Source organism: Homo sapiens, chromosome 3 (genome assembly GCF_000001405.40).
Source record: "Homo sapiens chromosome 3, GRCh38.p14 Primary Assembly".
Lineage (NCBI taxonomy): Eukaryota > Metazoa > Chordata > Mammalia > Primates > Hominidae > Homo > Homo sapiens.
Genome location: NC_000003.12, coordinates 193,681,604 through 193,705,574, shown reverse-complemented (window position 1 = coordinate 193,705,574; position 23,971 = coordinate 193,681,604). Strand labels below are relative to the sequence as shown.

The 23,971-nt window shown below is 38.1% G+C and overlaps 1 protein-coding gene and 1 long non-coding RNA gene across 13 annotated transcripts in view, besides 1 other annotated feature; one reads left to right on the top strand and one right to left on the bottom strand.

Annotated features, from left to right (window-relative positions):
- Positions 3,384-3,443: an enhancer, noted in NCBI's record as "active region_21004". NCBI's record gives its function as "activates an Ori minimal core promoter by ATAC-STARR-seq in GM12878 lymphoblastoid cells {active_cell/tissue: GM12878}" and the evidence as "EXISTENCE:reporter gene assay evidence [ECO:0000049][PMID:35858748]".
- OPA1 (OPA1 mitochondrial dynamin like GTPase) overlaps positions 7,764-23,971 on the bottom strand; it is a 104,604-nt gene continuing 88,396 nt past the window's right edge. For all 11 annotated transcript variants that reach the window (NM_001354664.2, NM_001354663.2, NM_130837.3 and 8 more), the window contains 2 exons: positions 13,443-13,512; positions 7,764-10,969 (listed from right to left, as the gene is read on the bottom strand). In NM_001354664.2, coding sequence (NP_001341593.1) covers positions 13,448-13,512 — 65 coding nt within the window. In that variant the 3' untranslated portion in view covers positions 7,764-10,969; positions 13,443-13,447. The remainder of the gene's footprint in view (positions 10,970-13,442; positions 13,513-23,971) is intronic.
- The window catches only part of LOC102724808 (uncharacterized), a 35,845-nt gene continuing 34,349 nt past the window's right edge, over positions 22,476-23,971 (top strand). For both annotated transcript variants that reach the window (XR_924835.3, XR_924836.3), the window contains exon 1: positions 22,476-22,553. This is a non-coding gene — a long non-coding RNA (uncharacterized LOC102724808). The remainder of the gene's footprint in view (positions 22,554-23,971) is intronic.

The window sequence follows — 23,971 nt, the reverse complement described above, 5'->3', positions numbered from 1 at the left end:
CTTGTGGACATATTTTAAAGATTAAATGAGATAAAAAAGCTCTATGCCAATTAAGGGCAGTTTTATATAAAACAGAATTAAAGTTTTCACAAATGTCAGCATTAGAAGAACGCTGAATGAACATCCAACCAAACCCTCTTATTTTATCAATGGAGAAATAAAGCTACCTGGAGACAGATTTTCATCAAATGATCATGTTCCCATTTTAGATATTTCATTCTGGCAGGAGTGTGGGGGATGAACAGGAGATGAAAATGAAGGCCCATGGCAACAACAAAGGTGAGACATGGGGGGCCACCTGATCTGTGCAGACAGGATGGGAAAGAGTGGAGGGGTACAAATATATTAAACTGGTGGGTCGGGCGTGGTGACTTACGCTTGTAATCCCAGTGCTCTGGGAGGCCGAGGTGGGTGGATAGCCTGAGATCAGGAGTTCGAGACCAGCCTGGCCAACGTGGTGAAACCCTGTCTCTACTAAAAATACCAAAAAAAAAAAAAAAAAAAAAAATTAGCTGGGCGTAGTGGTGCACACCTGTAGTCCCAGCTACTCCGGACACTAAGGCAGGAGAATCGCTTGAACCTGGGAGGCGGAGGTTGCAGTGAGCTGAGATCGTGCCACTGCACTCCAGCCTGGGCAACTGAGTGAGACTCTGTCTCAAAAAAAAAAAAAAGTGGTGATTGGATTTGTTGGTTGCACTGGGGAGAGGGTCCCAGGTTTTTGTCTTGTGCAACTAGGTATATCACAGTGTCTGTCACAAAAATAGTGGAATCTGGAGAAGAGACAGGTTTACTGGAGAAAGAATTGGTTGCATTTTGGATAGGTTAAGTGTGAAGTGCCTGTGGGACATGCAGGTATAGTTGGCGATATGGGTTTGTGAAGCATGGAGAGAGGAACAGGATGGAGCTCGAGTTGAGAGCCAGGAGCAGATACAGCAGGGGGAGCTGATCAGCCAGGGAGAAGTAGGGTCAAGAAACGCAGAGTGTTCAGGGAACGACAACACTCAGGCAGGCCTGTGAGCAGCACTGAAAACCAATAGGCATTTTGTTATTAGAAGGGAAACCAGGAGAAAGTAGTGGCACAGAAGCCAAAGAAATAAGAGGTTAGAGAGAGAGAGAGAGGGCGAGTGAATGTATGTTACAAAGTTCTAAATGTCCCAGAGGGAGGAGAGGGAGAATGAAAGGTTATCACAAAATATTAAATAACCTTAAGGGACCAAGCCAAATAATAAATGTATTGAGGGCAATTAGCCAAATGGAGGTCACTGGTGGCCTTGCTGAGGGGCAGATGGCAAAGTGGCAGTGGTGGTGGTGAGGATATGGTGCAAGGGCCCAGATGGTAAAAGAAAACACTGGCTTTGAGGGGGCTGAAGAAGGAATGGGGAGGACTTCTCTTTCAAGGAGGATGGCTGTGAATGAAACACAGTGGAGTTTACAGATACACAGACAGTCCTCGACTTACAATGGTTTGATTGATAACTTTTCAACTTTATGGTGGCACGAAAGCTATATGCATTCAGTAGAAACTGTACTTCAAGTACTCAGAAAACTGTTCTGTTTTCCACTTTCAGGCCGGTATTCAGCACATTACAAGACATTCAACACTTTATTATAAAATAGGCCCTGTGTTAGATGACTTTGCCCAACTGCAGGCTAATGTAAGTGTTCTGAGCATGTTTAAGGTAGGCCAGGCTAAGATGTGATGTTCAGCAGGTGAGGTGTATTAAAATGCATTTTAGACTTAGAATATTTTCAAATTATGATGAGTTTATTGGGATGTAACTCCATCCTAAGTCAAGGAGCATCTTTATAGGGTTCACAGAAGAGGCCAACTTATTTCTAGATGCTGGGATTCCTGAATATTTTAAACCTTCACTTGCCTTATTTCTAGGTAACTATATCCAGAGTACCCAGAATAGAGTAACGCTTTTTTGCCAACCAGCTCATGATATGAAAAGGAACTGCCTCCTTACGATGGTTGAACGGGTAAGGGAAGAAAGCTATTAGTACTCTTCCAGCCCATTCTGTACCTGCTCTTTTTCTAAGCTCTGCAGTCAAACCTACATGGGATCCCATAAAGACTTTGTCAACCAGCCAGCGGTGGAACTTGAGGCAACCTCTCTGAGCCAGAGTTAGCCTGTTGGTAAACGACAATGCCTGCCTTAGGAAGTTGTAAGAATAAGCAAGATAATGTGTTTAAAGTACCTGGGATACAGCAGGCATTTAATAAATGAGAATTTCCCTCCAGTCCAGCCTCATAATAAAGCAGAAACAACAAAAAACTCTGCATCTCTAAAAATGACCAGAAATCATGTTATTTTCAGAAGGCCTTGGTACTATTATCACCCAAATGCACCGAGGCCAGAAATGAGCAGAAAGCTATAGTTGAAATCAGAGGTTTCAAATAGTGACTCACGAGTGGGAAGCATGCTATTTGCAGATGTTTCTCTTGGACTCACACAAGTATTTAAGATTTTCAAAATTAGCTGCTAACATTTAAAAATAGGGAAGTTTCACATAAATAGATCCCCAACTTCTTTCACAAAACGACTGGCTTTGGAAGTATTGAACCTGTGGCCCTGGGTCTAAATCTTCATGAAACACATAGTACTTGCCTAGGAATCAGGGAACAGTTTCTAGCTGTAACATTAATTGAGCAAATTGCTTTTCTCTGGGTCTCTCTCTTTTTTTTTTTTTTTCAAAGTAAGAGTTATCACTGTTCTAAAACAATAGTTCATTTTTTAGGTAAACAAAGTAAATCCGAGGACAAAAACATGGTAAAACTTCTTGAAATCACACGATACATACAGGTAACCAGGTAGTAGAAGGCTTTCAAAATGGTGCAGAATATATAAATATTGGCTGCACAAAAGATTATCCAAACTACAGGTATCAATAAAAACACCATGATGATTCAGAAAGAGGAAAACCCTCTTAAAATGAACTACTGTATGCCTAAATACACAGGAAGGTTTAAGCTTCCCATTAGATGTGGCACATGCAGACTTGTCCCATACTCATCTGCTCTAGAAAGTTCCCCATTTCCACATTCTCATCTTGTGGTTTTTGAGGAGGTTGAGCATACCACGCCTCATCCGTGGAGGCTTTCTGCTTGGCTGGCTTCAGACAAAGTTACCATTAACTCCCCAACCTGCAAGAAAATGATTTGACACAAAGGATTCCAAAATGTCCTCCTCTCCCCCTACAAGCCTGCAAACAAATGGTACAGGAATGAGGCCAGAAAGGAATCCCCCGCCTACCAGGCCCCTGAATTCATTTACCTACCTCAGAGCCCATTCAGAGAAAGGGGTGGGACAGGGAACAAGAGATGCTTGGAGGCCAAGTGGAGTTTGGGGGTCGAGCGCCACATTACAAGATTTGACAGGCCTTTGCGAGCCCTCAGCTTCTTTGTGTCTCTCACATAATAGAGAAACACAAAGTGAGCAGCACACGACCTGTGGTTACACCCTTGGACAGAGCACACTCTTTGCAAATGCTAATAGTATTGTAGCATCCTGTCACCCGGTAACACAAAAAAGGATGTTGATTTTCACATGAACCAGAACAGGCCCATTGTACACAAGTTTGTGACCAACTTGTAGTACCTGCACATCAAAAGGCCAGCCAATCATAGAGTACACAGCTGGCGAAACGTACCAACGGGGGGCGCCCAATGGGGAGAGCATCCAGGTCCAAATGCCTCACTCCACCAACAGGATAAGAAAACAATGCTTTTGACGCGAACAAAATTACACTCTCAGAATCTTGATTCAGCTATGACCAGAGCAATGAGTATAATTAGCAAGAATGTGAATGTCTCAGATGTTTTGAGAAATCTGAATGTATGAAAGTGGGAGTGGCTTTGTGATGGTACCAACAGCCTATGAAATGGCAGAGGCAGCAAATGGCAGGCATGTTCAATTAAGCATTCATATTAGAGATGTTCTGATACGGGTAAAGATAACTCATACAGATTTTGGCATGAAAATCTGTCTTTCGGTCCTAATAGTCTTGGGAAACCAGACATATCTCAAGGCAAGAAAATTAAAGAATGTACATGAGATACCTGGAATATAAGTTTAGTAGAAATTTTAAAGAATTCTGCTAATAGCTTTTCCTTCAAAATAATTTTATTGGGGGTGGGGCGCAGAAAGACACTCAAAAGTAGTAATTTGGGCCAGGCTAGGTGGCTCACGCTTATAATCCCAGCACTCCGGAAGGCTGAGGTAGGAGGCTTGCCTGAACTCAGAATTTTGAGATCAGTTTGGCAACATATTGAGATCTCATCTCTACTAAAAATTAAAAAAAAGATTAGCTAGGCATGGTGGTGTGTCCCTGTAGTCCCACCTACTCGAGAGGTTGAGGTGGGAGGATCACTTGAGCCCAGGAGGTCGAGGTTGCAGTGAGCTGTGATTGTGTCACTGCACTCCAGCATGAGGGACAGTGAGAAACCCTGTCTCAAAAAAAAAAAAAATAGTAATTTGGAAAAAGAAAATATTCAATCAAGTTTTTAAAAACTGAGGAAAGAGCAATTCCATATTTTAATACTTGGACTAACTAAAAAAGATTGACAGAATCTGCACAGGATAAAATGAGAGAATTAACATTATTAACATGTTGAGAATTGCAAAGCACTTGTTTTTTACACCTAAAACTTAAGGCCTGGCGTTAACATGAAATTAGAACCTACTGAATCTCATCTTCTTGTCCACTAAGGTCTCACAGGCAGCCACACATCTCTGCTGATAGTTCCATTCTTGCAATGCAACAATAGCCTCATGTAATTAGTAAAGACTATCATAGGCCATTTTTGTTATGAGTTAGGTCATTTTGTACTTTCTAGGTATATCATGTGCCCTAATGTGCTCCTAATATCATAAATGTTTACTTTCCGAAAAGTATTTCTGAAAGGGAGCATATTTTGGAAAGTGCATAGGCTTGTAATCATACTTGTTTTCAAGTTTCAACTTTGCTATTCAACTAGAATAACCTTGTGCAAAACCTGAGCTGATTTTCTCATCTATAAAATGGAAACAATACTTTCTGTGATAATGGGTGCAAAACACAAGGTATACTGGTTTCTTTGCTCTGGATTCAAGTTTTCTTCTTAGTTTCAAAATTTTAAAGGGAAACCAAAAATGTTTCATGGGACCAATCCTTGGCAAGATAGGATATTGACCGTTCAAAAAGAATTCAGTGGAGTTTCTCCATGGATCCCAAAATGCTGCTGGCCAGTTTTAGTCTACTTTGTAGTGTTCTGAGTCCTGCTCAGACCTTTATAATAGGCCCTTAGTTAGGATGTGTTAATATTTCTGGAATGGCTGCAAACTTACACATATCTCTCTGCATCCTTCCTCTCAACACACATCAGGCACCTCCTGCTACTGTGGTGTTGCTCCCGGCAGCGGGGAGGCAGGCATGTTATTGTCACTGGGTGTGTACTGTGTCCTTGAGGTGATTTCTGATTTTTTTACTATATATATATATGAATTGATTGTAGAAAAAAATTATATACATTAGGTATGCAAGGGGAGTGGCTGTGTACCACCTGGAGCATTATGGCACATGTGGGAATTCTTAAACCCTCTAGACAAATATATTTCTTAAAATGAGAAATAAGTAAGCATTGTATTTTCTTAGTGACGCAAACTAACACAGAAAGCTGTTTCTGCGTTAAGATGTATGGAAAGAGAGATTAATAACAAAAATAGAACACAAACTAAAGGAGCAGAAAAATGGTTAGGTTCATTCCTTCAGTTGAGAGGGAAATTAATTTCAGCATTTCCTGGCAGCTGAAGCAAAGAAAATGGTAAAGTCTTGAGTTCTCATTGTCACAAGGAGAGCAGTACATACATGTGTCTGGAGGGGAAACCGCTGGTACTATCTAGTAATCCTTAATGAATTTCAGTGATAATCAAGACATGTCATTAGGTTAGACTTCTGCAAAAGAGACTGTGTATTTTCTTCAAATAGATGTGTCATAAGGTCTTGCCTGTGAAGCCAAGGACGTAATATCAAAGAGGTAGGTAAGTAGCAGCCCAGGCAGTATTGCTTTCTGATGATTTGGCCTAATCTCAGATGAAGTTTACCAAAGCAAAAAAAGGAGGTTAACCTATTCCCTACATATTCTCTCACAAATATCAGAGGTCTCAAGAGCTTTTGGAAAGTATTAGGTCACATAAACCATGAGCATATTTTCTGACAAATGGATAAAATTCTAACTTCCGTATTGTTGCTCTGTGATTTAATAACTACAAGAGTAAGCAGCAGAATGAGTATTCTGTTCTGAACATTAAAGAGTGTAACTTATATTCTTAATACAGCCGTAAGACATATCTCTGTGGGGGGCTGCTGGCAGTATCACTGCACTGTGACTAGATCTTCAGGGGTGCCTCTGGCCTAGTTTTTTCAAAAACAGATCTCTGAATTTCCCAAATACTTGGAAAGGAACAGTTTACACCTGGGTTAATGAATTAAAAGTACTAACAGCAGGAACAAGAATTTTTTATCACAAAGAGTAACAATCACGCCTGTGATCCCAGCACTTTGGGAGGCCGAGGCGGGTGGATCACGAGGTCAGGAGATTGAGACCATCCTGGCTAACATGGGGAAACCCCATCTCTACTAAAAATACAAAAAATTAGCCAGGCATGGTGGCAGGTGCCTGTAGTCCCAGCTACTCGGGAGGCTGAGGCAGGAGAATGGCCTGAACCCGGGAGGTGGAGCTTGCAGTGAGCTGAGATCGCGCCACTGCACTCCAGCCTGGGCGACAGAGCAAGACTCCAACTCAAAAAAAAAAAAAAAAAAAAAAAAAGATTTTCATTTAACAGCATTTATAAGTAGTATTTACCTCCTTGTCAGTGACTTGGCCACAAATGCACCTTAACGCGGCTTCTGCAGAATATGTACGTAACTCACGAGAAGTCTTGGAGAGGAATCACATACATACTCTCAATTTTCAAGCTCAATTCTGTCATTTTAGGATATAAATTTAAACAAATGCCTTATGATATAGGTTTTTCCTACCCTTAGTTTTAGAAGCTGTCTTCTTCCAGCTAGAGATCACCCATATTTAAGCCTTCCTGATACTGTCTCCTGGTTTTGAACCTTTAACAATTTTTGTAGTATTTGTTTGAACACTTAAGTTTTCTACACTTATTAACTGGGTCTAATATGTGCAGGACATGATTGTTTTAGTTATCACAAATCGGGTATGTGGTTATTTTAAGACGTACTTCATAATTAAATACATCTGTATTATCTATAGGCACATGGTAGCTATTTCAATTTGATAAATATATTAATTCTTCAATCAGACATGCTAAAAAAATTAATTGCTCTATTAAATCTTCAGTAACTAAATTCTTCAAACGTTTTGATACACGAAGATTCTGAACTTGAATTACACAAGGATGAAAACCTAGTTTAAAATAAAGTATGGGGCCTCACACTGAGTCTGTTAGCACTGATAAAGAAAACCAATGCTAACACGATTGAAACATGTTCTTGCCTCTGCATCTTCTGAAGGAATTAAGAAGGCACACCTATACGCTACCTAACTTGACATATCCAATGATCGACAATTAGTAGGTATCATTTATGAGCAAAGTTCTGGAGGAATAACAAAGTGAGTAACAGGAGTTTATAATCAGATGGTAGATGAAATTAAAGTCTCTTCCAGTTCTAAAGCTTAGTTATAACTTCTTAGTAAGCCTCATATGAACATGTTGGCAGCATTAATGAAAATGACAGCCTTGGCAGCAAAGTGAAATTAGAAAACCTTTTTTATATATTTTACCAAGGAAAATAACAAAATGTTTTGACAAGTACCACGATGTGAAAAAAAGCACCGGTTGACCATGGAGTACAACTGTGAAATGCAAGGCATGTGAAATTCAAGCATTCAGAGAAAAGCCACACTGAGAGCTTGTTAGACCATGAATCTGGTTATACTATGGGGTCAAATAATGACCCTAGGTATACAGGTTTCTCTTTCCCTCGTTAAAACAGAAAAAAATTTAAAAGATGCTCTCCAATAATAGAATTATAATGTGATTTAAATATTTTTTAATTACTCATCTACACAAATGACCTTTGATCAAGCTCAGGCAAAATATAAGTTGCAATAATATCTACACGTAATGTGAAGGTTTTAAAAAAATAATACAAAGTTCATTCACAGTGCACAAGTGAAAACAAGGTAAGTTTCAAATATCTCAACAACATATAGCCATGATCATTCAAAAGGTAAGCATATTTTAAAGCACATTTCCATACTGCTAGAGCTATAACATAGACCAGCTTAGAGAACTGAGAGAAAAACCATTACTTTGATCCCCTTTATTGGAAAGCAAAAATACCAGATTTCTTTCCTCAGATACATACATCTAGAATAAATAAATACAAAATTATTAACTAAAGATTTTATCTTTTAAACCTATACTCTGACTCTCATCCTATGTCAAATTCCCACATTGTGAGGCTGGGAAGCACCACTCTCTGCCATGTTCCCTACTTATTTTTATATCATTCATTTGCATTTGGAGGCTGAATAATTTGCAGAAAGAAGTCTGCGGAAAAAACTGTAGAAAATGGGAATACAAAGAGGGCAATATCATAAACTACTAGAAAGGTTGACTGTTCCACCCGCAACTATAGCACAGTGGGTTAAACGGGGAAGCTGCAAGGGCCACTTATTTCGTGCTGTGCACTGCCTAGGTACACTGATTTTTAAAATTGAAGTCCTAGCCAAATTAAGTTTGGATATCATCTATTTACAGTTGTTCAGTCTTCCATACAGAGCTTTGTCCACTCCACTCTTTGCAAATTCTGACATAAAAACAAATGATTCTGTGGCTAGTTCGAATTTAACTTCTGTATATTTAGTATCTTTTTGTTTAAATTAGAATCATTTCTGACTTTTGAACTACAGACACAAGACACAGGGTTTACTCTTGAGACTGAATTTTATTTTCTTTCAATAACATCTGCAGTTGATAAATACCTAGCTTTCAAGGAAAAATAAAGCATGCTTAGGATGAGATCAGCTAAAAAGAAGAAAAAAAAACCCATGAAAGAAGCCACATTACTGTGGGGCATGGAGAGGGCGTCAGGACTCTCATGTGGGACTTTTAGTAATATTAATTGTTATCATCTATTCACATACGTTACAATACTGATCTCCTCAAAGAAATGAAGATCTCCCTCCATCTCTTTTTAAAACTTATACAAAGGGATGTGATAACAGTAGTGACTAATATTAGCCTTTTCCTTGGGAGAAATCTGTGGAAATACAGCTGAAGGTCTTTCTTTCTATAGTTGACAGAAGTAAATAAATATGGTCCTGTTTTATTCTTTAGAAATAGATGTGTAGTTGTAATTGTTATGCTTTACAACTGCAAAAATATTCATTAACATGCATTAACCTGTAAGCACTGGTTAGAGGGGTGTACCCAGTAAGGTCATCTCCTAATCTGTGTATAGAACATAATAGAGCTCTCCTCCCTTTCTATTCACTCCTGTCCCTAGACCTAAAAGAAATAAAAAAAGTTCCTGACTATGCATCTACCAGCGCATCTGTGCTGCTTAAGGCTGGACCTACTTTTCTTATCAAACAGTATAAAACAAACATACATTGAATTCCTGGTTTCGGAAGTATTTTTTCATATCCTCAACCGAGCATACCAAGTGTTACATCTTGAGGGATCACAACGAAGCATGCATTGATGTAAAACAATAAAATGGGGAGTAGCAATGGGGCTGTTACCAAAAAGCAACTCCAAGAAAATAAGATTTAGCAAACTGTAAAATCAAAAACATCACACAATGGACACTTTTATTAACAAAGTAAAGGCTTAGTGAAAAGGCAGCAAATGAGATAGACATTTTAAGTAAAGAAAGCATTTCTTTGCTTGAATGTCCTTTAGCCAATTAAAAAATATTTATTTAAAACACATGAAAATGTTGTGAAGGTAGTATTGTAATTAAATTGCAATAAATTGAACTAAATTTTTCTTTATTCAGCTGAGAGGGGGATGGTCAACATTACTTTAATTGTTGAAATAATTTCTATTTAAAATAGTCTTATGAAAGAAAGCCTTTTTCTGATACCTAGTTGAAATGTTTGATAATATTCTAAATGAAATTAGTCAATTGATTATCCTTAATCTTCCTCATCCTGTGTCATAATCCGGTGGCTCTGTCAACAGGAGAAAAACCACTATTAACAGAAAGCCTAACGTAAGTATACAACATCTAAAATAAATCAATTTCAAATGGATATAGAGAGTGAGAAAACAGCAACTGAATCAAATAGGTAAGCTGGTACTGACTTGGCTTCCAAGGCAAATTTCTTCGCTGGCTATGAAGGGTTGAAATTTCTTTCACTGAACGTTACAATCCAAATTAACCTGTTTTAAGGGTTCTTCTGTTACCCATTTTTCTTTCATGTGGTGAATATAAACTGAATTATCATGGTCAAATAGTTTCTGGGAATAGAATACTACAGACACATACAATGATTTAGCAGGCTACTGTGATTTTATATACAATTGATAACTTTAAACAATTGCTATATAAGTTTTATTTCAAAACACCTAGCATTGTATTTCTGGAAAAGAAACTGAACATTGAGCAACCTCAGTTAATCCATTAAACGAGTGCCACCACAAATAAGACAACAAACAGAGAACAAGTTTCTTATCTTCAAGGACTGAACCTAATGGCCATACCAATTATATTATTCCGATTTGTCACTTTAGTACAACAAAATAGGATGTTAATCCATTACCACTGTTCTTCCATTCGAGAGGCAGCTGATGGTTAAAGCGCCCGTAACATACATCGATTATTTTTATCCCATGACTTTATTGTATGTTTAGAAAGGTGGAACAGCAGAAGAAAAAGAGGCTGGACAAAAGACGTTGATGTTTTTGTTCTTCAGATGTATGCAGAGCTGATTATGAGTACGATTCTGTAAAAATAAACCCATTTAACAAACTGAGGTCAGGGGAGATAAATGCAAAATTTCTAAACAAAGTTGATGACTGCATGATCACAACAATGTTGAAGCCTAACCGCTTACCTTTGCTAGTTTTACTAAACTTATATAGTCTATCACCGACCTAACAATATTGGCATAATTTTTTTATCAAACATAAGTTAAAAGCATATACTAAAATTAATTGAAGAAGAATCTGTGTATGACTGTATAGCATATAAACACCTTCAGCAAATATTAGAATAACAATTAATTAGGAATCCTATGTGTTAAAACTATACTTGAGAAAGTATTCCTTAGGGTCCTTGGTAACTTTGATAAAATGGTCAGAATGAAGCAAGGTTACCATTCTGCCAGATTTATTCTTTTAAATGCATCTGCAGGGTACAAAACAGATCATCTGTCCAGATCACAAGATACTTTGTAAAAGTTCACAGAGTCTTAAGTCACAAGGGTTGAAAAGGGTCTTAGAGACTAGACAGGTAGCAGCAACAGCAACTCTGGATGTCACACTGATCAGCTGAGGGGAGAGACACCATTATGTAAAACACTGGCTGGCTTTCAGCTTCCTCATTTTGTTAAAAAAACAGAAATACAGCTTGTCTTTTTAACGGGGCTTCCGGGGCTTTCATCAATTTTTCCCCGCAAAGCACACACAGGTCAGTAAATAGAACTATGATGTAAGCTCTGGTGCTAAAGGGGAGATCAAGGAGGCGCTACAGATGTTTATTTCTAATAGTAAGTATTCACGGTAACCACCATGATTAGGGTGATATTGTAACACTTAATGGTTTTAAAATAAAATATTCATACACAAAAGACATAGAAAACATTTATGAACACGGACACTTATAAAACACAAAAATTATGTTTAGCTTGTGTTAAAGATGATTATGTATTTTTGTATATTTCCATATATCTGTCTTCACTTTTTTTTTGAGACAAGAGTCTCGCTCTGTCGCCCAGGCTGGAGTGCAGTGGCACGATTTCTGCTTACTGCAACCACTACCTTCCAGGTTCAAGTGATTCTCCTGACTCAGGCTCCCGAGTAGCTGGGATTACAGGCATGTGCCAGCACACCTGGGCAATTTTTGTATTTTTATTAGAGACGGGGTTTCACCATGTTGGTCAGGCTGGTCTCCAACTCCTGACCTCAAGTGATCCGCCCGCCTTGGTCTCCCTAAGTGCTGGGATTACAGGAGTGAGCCACCGCACTGGCCTGTCTTAACTTACTAAAGAAACAAATGAAATAAAGTTACAAAGCTTTATTTTCAAGTTTTCTAGGTCTTGTTTCTCTCCTCCTTTGCTGGCACACTGTTCCGAATGATGTACCATGGAAGTTGTACTTCCCTTTCCACCCTGCTTTCTCAAATACATTTTCCTGACAGGAAAGTAGGTAGTTTGGTTTAAGAGCCTTTTCTGAACTGACCTGAACCGAGCGTAGCCAGGGAGGGAACCTTTTACATTTCTACTCCTTCTAGTTCTGAGCCTGCTGCAGGCTGTCTGTAGGGTAAGGGTCACAGACAAAAGTGACAAAATATTTGAAGTGATAATGACTTAACTACAGTATTTTTCTTTCCTCAACTTCTTTTATAAAAGCAAATGCCAGCCTGGACAACGGGGTGAAACCCCATCTCTACAAAAAATTAAAGAAATTAGCTGGGCATGGTGGCATGAGCCTGTGGCCCCAGTTCCTTGAGAGGCTGATGTGGGAGGACTGCTTGAGCCCAGGAGGTTGAGGCTGCAGTGAACAGTGATTGCACTACTGCACTCCAGCCTGGGTGGCAGAGCGAGGTCTCCTCTCAAGCAAGTGACTTACTGATTAAAATTCTTCAGCAACAATTAATTGATTATGCTACTAAGGAAAAGTCCTTAAATATGTATTTTATTAGGAACATGCCTCTAATGCCAGAAAGCAGAATCAGACAAGAAAGTAAATTCAAGGAGTACTAAATTCTAAGGCTATATAAATTAAGTAGGAAAAACACTTATCTAAATGTTTTTAAACAAAAGAGATAAGGATTAAGAACAATTATTAAAATTTTAATTAAGTCAAACAGAAAACTTTCTAAGTTAAATATTTAACATACACATCATTATTGATAGACTATAGGCAAGAAGAATAAAGTAATGTCAACTACAGCTCAATTCTTTACACCTAGAAAATGAGTCACCTGCATATTATACAATATCTTAGCTCTGTGTTCACCTTTGTTCTATTCAAAATGAGTTCTAGAGGATATTCTTAATTCAGCCAGAAGGCAATCAAGTTATTCAAAGCAACGTTATACAAATGAAATTCGGAAGCTAGTTTCAGAGATTCATGCCATTGAAATTACAGCATAAGTGACAAGCAGGATGTAAATGAAGCAGAATGATAAACTATTAAGAAAAGTGTAATTTTGTATTTAGTCAGCACCAATACAGTTAGAGAATTTTTACTCACTTAATTTATTTCTCCTGATGAAGAGCTTCAATGAAAGCATCAAGTTTTTCTTGAATTTCTCTAACTTTCTCTGTGGAGATAAAAATAAAGAAAAACATTTATTTTTCAAAGGTATCACAAATCAGGAGGTAATTATTTACTAAATGGTTGGTATACTTAACTATTTGCGGGAAAAAGAAAAATATGAGTCTCACCATACCACCTTTTACCCAAATAAAGTCCAGATGGATTATAGTAGTAGGTCTCAGACATTTTTTGGAAGTGGGAGGAGAGACTGACTGACCCCTTTGAGGATCTAACAAAAACTCTGGACTCTTAACATGGAAAAAAGCATGTATTAAGTACATGTACAATTATGTAGAGAATTTTAAGGAATTCTCAGATTCTCTGAAGCCCAATTAAGAACCCACAGTTACTAATGTCTGGATCATAGGCAAATATAAAACAATGAAACCATTTTAAAAAACTAAAAGAAAATAGAGGTGGCCTTAGACTGGGAAATGACTTTTTAAATATAAAGTAGTAAGAGTTACAAAGGAAAAGATCAATCAATATGGCCATATTGAAATGTATACTTTTATTTATATGTCATAAAATTAAAAGACAAAGGAAGCTGTGGGAGATGCTTGCAACAAACATGAGAAGTGCAATGGTGCTATAAAAATACATACAAAAAAGTACTTTGCCAGCTATAAATAAGTTTAAAAATACCAGAGCCACTAGAGGTAGATTTACATTATTTATTTTAGGTTTTCATGTTTATAGACTTCCAAATGAAATATATACTCTCTGAAATGTAGATTTCCTCCACAAATGTGAACTGCTCATAGTACATGCCAATCCCCTCTTAAAATTGGAAAAGTCATGATCTATACTACTTCACATGCACCTCCTACTTTATTTTATATTCTGAGATGGGGGTCCTACTCTGTCGCCCAGGTTGGCGTGCAGTGGTGTTGGCAGGGCTTACTGCAGCCTCAACCTCCTGAGCTCAGGTGATCCTCCCGCCTTGGCCTCCCACGTAGCTAAGACCACAGGCACGTGCCACCACGCCTGGCTAAGTTTTTATTTTTAATTTTTTTGTGGAGATAGGATCTCACTTTGTTGCCCAGGCTGGTCCTGAACACCTGGGCTCAAGTGATCCTCCTGCCTTGGCCTCCCAAAGTCCTGGGATTACAGGTGTGAGCCACTGTGCCTGGCCTCCTATTTTAAAACACAGGTTATAGTAAGCATGATAAATATTTTTGTTCTTTTAAGGTAATTTAACATATTAGTGGAAATGATCAATTAAGGTGGGTTGGCTGGTTCAAAGTGAGTGACCTAGAGGCAAAACTGGCAAGCATTCTACTTTCACTATGTAGGAAAACCATGTAAGATGCATTTAATATTTGACATTTATATCTTTTATATTTAAAAGTAAATAATCTGCAATTGAAGATACATGTATTCCTTTTTACCAGCGAGGCAGCTATTAGTGATGAGTACCCAAGAAAATGAAGAATTGTCCTTTTTATGAATTCTTATTAGCATTGCAGGAACTCAAAAAAGCCTACCACGGTTGGATATAAAGAACGTAACATTTTCATATTCTTTTTCCAGTAATTTATTCTTTTCATATTATTTTTCCAGTAATTTAAAACTTCTAGGTCTCACTATGTTGCCCAGGCTAGACTCAGACTCCTGGGCTCAATTGATCCTGCTGCCTCAGCCTCCTGAGTAGCTGAGACTACAGGTGAGTGCCACTATGCCTGGCTGAAGCACTTCTTATTCTAGGCATTAGATTCAGACTGATATAAAATCTGTGTGTGTGTGGGGTGGGGTGGGGGGGGAGTCCAGTTGTTTTAATCAAGCTATGTATTGAGAAAATATGATAATAGTTATTATGAAGGTAGCATTAACCCCTTATATATAAAATTAAACTAGAGAAACTTAAAAAAAAAAATCCTAACCCATCTCCTAGAAGTTGAGTCTCAATTTTTTGGTAGGCTGACTTCCATTTTTTAAACAGCAGACAAACAAGTAAATATTCTTGTTTTCCCAAAATAAGGCCACATTCTTAGTTTAAAAATTAATTCATCTAGTTGCTTAGAAACAGCTTAACCTATTTTTTTTTTTTTTCAGTGAATGTAAGAAAGTTTCACATCAGTTCATCAGTTGGAGGATTTTTAAAAAGTGGGGAGGTTAGGAGAAAGACATTTTCTAAATTGTTACCTAGAATGCTGGAAATGAATGTGGTCTTAAAAAACCATCTAACTTAAATCACACAACACACGGGAATCTCAAACGGGTGCTTCTCTCCACATTTCATTGAGAAATATTTCTACTTGGAAATGCTGTACTGTATGAAGAGAAGAAATCCAACTCCATTTGATACACGATTTGAGTACAATAGGGCAGTGCATGGCCAGGTCTACCCATTCTTTTGGCCTACTGGTGACCCCCATCTTAAGCTGGATGGACTACTGCAGGGAGGTGGTACAGCAGCCTCACTCCCTACAAGAGACTATTCAGAGAAGATCCAATTGAATTGAAAGATACCAAGAGCCACCCTGATGCAGGTGTCTCACCCTGTAAGGTCTAAATGAAAATCAGATTTTTCTAAAATTAACAGGTAAGCAGTTTTTTTCCTAAATAAAAGCAAAAAGACTATTTAATGTACTTTAATATGAAAACCACAAAATGAAAAAATGCCGAATTTCCCTTAAATATTTACGATTAGAATATCAGGACACAGTACTACCATGCCTTGAAACCTCAGGAATGACAAAGGACACTTAACTAAGTTACCAGGAAGTAATGGGGGTAGGAGGTGTGAACGGAGGGGAGACTGGAGGTGAGTGTTAAAAGAGCAATTATGATAAATGTATCCTTTAAACATTAACTAAAAAACATTTATTTCTTTGTTCTTTCACTTTCACAATGTACTTCATAAAGTGATATGAGGACACAGATGATATCCTACCTTTGAGAAGCATTCCTGGCTTACTCTGCTATGATGTATCTACTATGTATTTCCAAATTTGGCGTTTCATTTGGTTCTCATACAACCTTGCAGGTATCATTGCTAAATATGAGGACATTAAAGCCTGGAGTTAGCCTTGTCTACACTTCTCTGATTAAGAAACACATCTGCTACGATGTTTGTTTGTCTGACGCAGAGTCTTGCACTGTCACCCAGGAGTGCAGTGATGCAAACACGGCTCACTACAGCCTCGACCTCCCAGGCTCAAGCGATTCTCCTACCTTAGCCTTCCAAGTAGCTGGGACCACAGGCATGCAGCACCACACCTGGCTAATTTAAAACAATTTTTTTTGTCAAGATGGGGGTCTCACTATGTTGCCCAGGCTGGTCTCGAAGTCTTGGCCTCAAGCAATCCTCCCCACTCGGCTTCACAAACTGCTGGAATTACAGGGCGTGAGCTACTACACCCAGTCTGCTACTGTATGTTAACTCATAATAACAAAGCTCATAGTGACGAAGCAAATGCTGTTATTTTAAGTCTCTTTGGTCTTTTTTAAGTATTACCTTTGACTTAAAATAAGACGCATTTCAGGGAGAATCGGGAGGCGGAGGTTGCAGTGAGCTGAGATCATGCCACTGCACTCCAGCCTGGTGACATAGCGAGACTCTGTCTCAAAAAAAAAAAAAAAAAAAAAAAAAAAAAAAAAAAAAAAAAAAAAAAGAAAAGACCCATTTCAGTAAAAATCAGGGAACAAAACAGTTACACCTCCTAAGTAGTCTATGCCTAAGGATGACCGGACACTCCATAATATGCTATCATATTCTGATGAAAATGATGCCCTCTTGAGAAGACTAAATTGACGCACACTTGGAGAAGCCCCTGGAGAACAATACAGGAGTACAAAATGGGCCCAAAAATGCTCAGAGTCTTCAGTGTCTAGAACAAGGCCTGATCACTGCGTACGGTCAATCAATGATAAACGAAGTTGCCCAAAATATGGCACAGAAGATAAGGGCTGTGGTTTTCAAAGGGAAAAACTAACTTAGCTGGCTTCATGAATACTACACTAGTGATCAAGAGGGAGGAAGACAGGATCAGAAGAGCTAGAGCAAGCCTGGGAACAGGAGGCAAGATACACATAGATAATGAAAGTCAAAGAAAGCTGGTGGCTCACACCTGAACCAGACAAGCAACACAGATCAGGATACTCGGGCCCAAAAACACAAGTGGGAAAAAAAAATCCCTTCATCTTAATGGTTGCACCTTATTATCAAGGCTGAAAGAGCTGGCTATGTATACATATTCACTTGCAGCTTTAGAAACTACATTCCGATTTCTTGCTTTTCAAGAAAGCTACATTACAAATAATAAGCAGAATTATTTCTCATAAATTCATTCATTTTAAATTTTGATACAAGTTTCCAAGAATGTCTGTATACTAACTGTGCCATCTGGCTGCCCAGAAAACCAAGTTATCCATAAACAATGAAGTTAAATGTTGGCAACAAAAACTCCCTACTTTCCGATCCTTCAGATTAATGCTTCAGTATCACGGTGCTTTCAAATTTCAAAAATATTATTGTAACTATTTCACCATTAGAAATTGCTTTCTCTCAGAAATACGTGTATGGATCAGCATGACTAATTATAAAGCAAACTCATATTTCCATTAAATATTTGAATTAAATATTCACAAATAAAGAATAAAATTTGTGATTTACTTGGTAAATTAAACCAACTCAGGAAGGGATTAACAAACTGCTATTTCTGCTATACAGAAATAGCTATTTCTACGTGTAGTGAATACTGAGTCTACTTTCCATTTATCCAATGTTTACTTAAAAGATGAGCTATTTCAAACATCAATTCACTGTGCTTCTTGATTGAGTCATGAATATTCCCATAATCCCCAACTCATAAACCGTCTCAGTGAATGAAGTTCCTTCTCTTTTTTCTTTTCTTCAGCTGACTTGACACCCATTCATGTTTTGGGTCTCTTTATCTCTACATGAAATGATACTGCTACTCTCATTTTCTTTTTGGGTCTTCTGATACTTGCTCTAAAAGTCTCAAATATAGACTAATCTGTAATTAGGTTTTGAATACACTGTGAATACCAAAAGGCCAAACCCGGGAGAAGGTTCACTTCAGTGGTTAATAACAGTTTAGAACAGGAACAAAGAACCACACACAAAACACTAACACATGCCCTGAAATAAACCTTTTAAAACTTTTGATGTTTTTAAAGAAAGCAAGCTGCCAACTTACTAATGCAGTGTACTTTAAGCAAACCACACATCCAAAGATCCAAATGTACCTTAATGGAACTGTTGTATAACATGCTGCCTGAGCACTTGGTGTTAAGCTTTAAGACACCCTCTAAGTGAGATTCTACTGTAGAAAGCTATTCACTAGAGTACTGAAAAGTAAAGGAACGCTTCTTATTATGTAATATATATTGTTCATGAAAAGGTTTGCTTTTTATTAAACTACACTATATACTTGCCCTTTAGAAGTTCAGTATTTAAATGAATCTAGGGTGTGGGGGAAACAAAAAAAGGAAAAAAGGTAAACAAGAGACTACACTCAAGATTCTCAAAACTGTAGCTAAAATCTTAGAGTTAGCACAAGAAAAAAGGTGCATCTTTTAGTTGATGAAAGGTTGAACCAAACAGATAGATGAAGGAATATGATTAAATCTAGCACTTATCTTCTGCATCTTAGTTCTGTAGATTTTTTCCTTGAAATAGGCATGATTATTTTTTAACACTCAATGAAGACAGACAGAACACTCCTGCATGTTACAGAAGGAGGCATCAATTCACACGTCCAGGAAAACTGTTAAAGACTGGTACAGTACTTTGAAAGCTGAGGTTCCCAGATTTCTGGGGCCTGTAAACGCTGGGTTAGTTTCACTACTTCAAAAACTCAAATGGAAAACTTCATTTGGACAAGAAACCCATCCCCTCTCCTAACAACTACTTCCTTATACTGATTAGGAACTCTAACTGGTGGTTGTATTTCTAACGAGAAGAATGTAACTGCACTGTTGTAGACAAAATCTTCTGTAACATGGACTTCATGGGATTAATAATGAAAGAAACATTTGATGAAAATTTTTTTTAAGAATCCCTAGTCTAACACCTTTAATAATCTATGGGGCAATTATTTGATATGATTTTTATAAAGCAGAGAACATGTTGTAATGTGTGTCATTTAAAATATATGACAATGTTGTATTCGCCGTTAACCTCATAACTGGATAAGTCACAGTCCTAGCTTTATCTATAAAATGAAGGAATCTGTCCAGGAGAATTCAAAGTCCACACTAATTTAAAACTTATGATTAAAATGTATTGTTCTAATTCATTATATACTTCATCTTTTAAATTTTTTTTGTTTATTCCTTAGTATCTTTTTATTTATTGGATATTAATCCTCTAGTAAAATATGTAACCACAAATTGCCATATCATTCTCATGGGGCTTCATAATTCATTTTGGAAAGATCATTTTTATAATGTATTTTTTCTGAGCATTAATGTGGAGAACAGCAAGGACTGCTTGGGTAAATTCTCTACTTACCAAAAAGTCTGTCATTTAAAATCACTCGGCCCAGCATAGCACTGCTTGCTATGTAATAGATGTCCATGAATATTCATGCATTCATAGTTGAGTGATCTGACTTAAACAATACTTAATCATTAAAGGTGATTATTTAAAAATTGCTATTTTGTGACCCCCATAAAGTATAATTTAGAAAGAAAGCAACCTTAAGAAAGTCTGTGAGGTAAATTACAACTGATGCCTGCTGAATATATAAAAAACTCCACAGCAATTTGTTGATAAATTCAGCTTTTTTTTTTTTTGAGATGGAGTCTCGCTCTGTCGTCCAGGCTGGAGTGCAGTGGCGCAATCTCGGCTCACTGCAACCTCCGCCTCCCGGTTTCAAATGATTCTTCTGCCTCAGCCTCCGGAGTAGCTGGGACTACAGGCAGGCATCACCATGCCTGGCCAATTTTTTTGTATTTTTAGTAGTGATGGGGTTTCACCATATTGGCTAGGCTGGTCTCAAACTCCTGACCTCGTGATCCACCTGCCTTGGCCTCCCAAAGTGCTGGGATTACAGGCGTGAACCACCGCGCCTGGTCAGATAAATTCAGCTTTTTAAAAAATAAACTCTTATAACACAAGCATTTCTACTAGGCTCCTTTTGGCTAGTACAATTAAAACCGCTTCAAATACTTTCTACATATTTTAAGGCCTATTCCCCAAAAGGCTTCAGTATGAACATGAATTAGCCTTATATTTAGGCTTTTATACTTGTTAGACCACTCAACTTTCTTAAGTGGATGGCAATTCTAATTTCAGCTCAGTTATAATGATTATGGCTCTGACTTAACTAATAAAAATAGTACTTGGCTGGGCGCAGTGGCTCACGCCTGTAATCCCAGCACTTTGGGAGGCCGAGGCGGGTGGATCACATGAGGTCAGGAGTTCAAGATCACCCTGGCCAACATGGCGAAAACCCATCTCTACTAAAAATACAAAAATTAGCCGGGCGTAGTGGCGGGCGCCTGTAATCCCAGCTACCTGGGAGGCTGAGGCAGGAGAATCACTTGAATCCAGGAGGCGGAGGTTGTAGTGAGCCAAGATCATGCCACTGCACTCCAGCCTGGGTGACAGAGCAAGACTCTGTCTCAAAAAAAAAAAAAAAAAAAAAAGGTAGTACCATTCCAGGTGCTTGTCAATGTCAATGAGTGTAAAATCTTGAACTTCTGGCTACCTGATATTTACTAAAAGGATCAGCTGCAAAAAGAAATAATATTTATGGGAGACTGTATGGAGGACATACAGTTCATCTATTTCTCTGGATACTATGTATTTTATCTTTAGATAAGCCAAACCAAATAGCTGTATGTTTGGACAGCATCATATTTTCCCTAGAACTACGCATGTTAGCCCGCATGAGAAACATTACAATAAAGGGCCCCATGATTTTCATGATTATGTGTAGCCATTAGATTCATTGTATCATCTAACTCAGTGTCCACTTTAAGGGAAATTTCTCTCAGTTGTGCGTACGAAGAAGACCCATGCTTCTCCTAAGCAACTGCTGTGTTGTTGTCTGATGGCCACCATGAATGATGGAATGACCTCTGCTTTCCATTTTGTAACTGCCAGCCACCAGGAAACTGAGGGCTAAATTTGCAGCTTACCTCTAGCAAAGTCCCAGCATACTTGGGAGATATGCAAGTTTGGTTCTAGACTGCCACAATAAAGCGTATATCACAATAAAGTGAGTCACATAAGGTTTTTTGGTTTTCCGGTGCGTTTAAGTTACGTTTACAGTATACTGTAATATATTAAGTGTGTAATAGCATTATGTCTAAAAAGACAATGTACATAACTTATTTAAAAGTACTTTATTGCTAACAAATGCTAAGGATCACCTGAGCCTTCAGCAAGTCATAATCTTTTTGCTGGTGGAGGGTCTGGCCCTGACGTTGATGGCTGCTGACTGATCAGGGTGGTGGCTGTTGCAGGTTACGGTGGCTATGGCAATTTCTTAAAATAAGACAACAATTGTAGTTTGCTGCACTGATTGATTCTTCCTTTCATGAAAGATTTCACAGTAGGATGTGATGCTGTCTGATAGCATTTTACCCACAATAGGTAATTTTGGGTAAATTTTACCCAAATTTACTCAAATTTTTCTTCTTTAAAAATTGGGACACTATCTTCTCAAACCCTGCAGCTGCTTTATCTACTAAGTTTATGTAATATTCTAAATCCTTTACTGCCATTTCAACAATGTTCACAGCATCTTCACCAGGAACAGATTCCATCTCAAGAAACCACTTTCTTCAAACTGAGACTGCCAAAAAAAAAAAAAAGAAAAAAGAAACCACTTTCTTTGCTTGTCCATAAAAAGCAATGTTTCATCTGTTCAAGTTTTATCATATTACAACAGAACTAATTCTAGTTCTATTGCTGTCTCTACCATATCTGCAGTTACTTCCTCCTCTTAAGTCCCAAACTCTTCAAAGTCATCCATGAGGGTTGGAATCAACTTCTTCCAAACTGTTAATGGTGACATTCTGACCTCCTCCCATGAATCCTGAATGGTCTTAACAGCATCTAAAATGGTGAGTCCTTTCCAGAAGCTTTTCCTTTTTTTTTCTCCTAAATCCATCAGAGGAATCACTATCTATGGCAGCTAGGGCCTTAAGACACGTATTTTTAAAATAATAAGACTTCAAGGTTGAAAGTATTCCTTGATCCATGGGCTGCAGAATGGATGTTGTGCTAGCAGGCACAAAAACAACATAAATCTCCTTGTACATCTCCCTCAGAACTCTTGCTTGACCAGATGCATTGTCAATGAGCAGTAATATTTTGAAAGAAAACTTTTCTGAGCAGGTCTCGAGAGTTATAATATTCAGTAAACCATGCTGTAAACAGATGTGCTGTCATCCAGGCTTTTTGTTCCACTTTTAGAAAACAAGCAGGATAGACTTAGCATAATCCTTAAGGGCCCTAGGATTTTCAGAATGGTAAATTCTTTAGGTTGGCTTCAACTTAAAGGCACCTGCTGCATTGGCACCCAAAATGAGGGGATAGCCTCTCTTTCGAAGCCTCGAAGCTGGGCATTGACTTCTCTCTAGCTATTAAATTACTAGATGGCATCGTCTTCCAATAGACAGCTACTTCATCTGCATCAAGAATCTGTTGTTTAGTATAATCACCTTCATCAATTATCTTAGTTAGATATTCTTGATAACTTGCTGCAGCTGCTACATCAGCACCTTGCACTTTCATGTTGCAGAATGGCTTTTTTCCTCTTAAACCTTATGAACCAAACTTTGCTAGCTTCAAATTTTATTCTGCAGCTTCCTCACCTCTCAGCTTTCGGAGAATTGAATAGAGTTAGGAACTTGCTCTGGATTAGGTTTTAGCTTAAGGGAATGTTATGGCTGGTTTGATCTTCTATCCAGACCAGTGAAACTTCCTGCGTCTCAGGCAATAAGGCTGTTCTGCTTTATCATTCGTGTGTTCACTGGAATAACACTTTTAATTTCCTTCAAGAACTTTTCTTTTGCATTCACAATTTGGCTAATAGCCCATTTTGGCTTTCAACAAACCTCCTTTACTAAGCTTAATCATTTCTAGTTGTTGATTTAAAGTGAAATATGGCACTCTTTCTTTCACTTGAACATGTAGAGGCCATTGTAGGGTTATTAGCTGGCCAAATTTCAATATTGTTGTGTCCTATGGAATAGGGAGGCCTGAAGAGGAGGAGAGAGACAGGGAATGTCTAGTTGGTGGAACAGCCAGAATACACACGTTTACTGATTAAGGTCACTGACTAATATGGGCACAGTTAGTGGTACCCAAAATAGCTACAATACAAACATCAAAGATCACCATGACAGACAGAATAATAATGGAAAAATTTGAAATATTGCAAGAATTACCAAAATGTGACAGTGACATGAGGTGAGCACATGGCTGTTGGGAAAATAGTGCCAACAGGCTTGTTCAATGCAGGGTTGCCACAAAACTT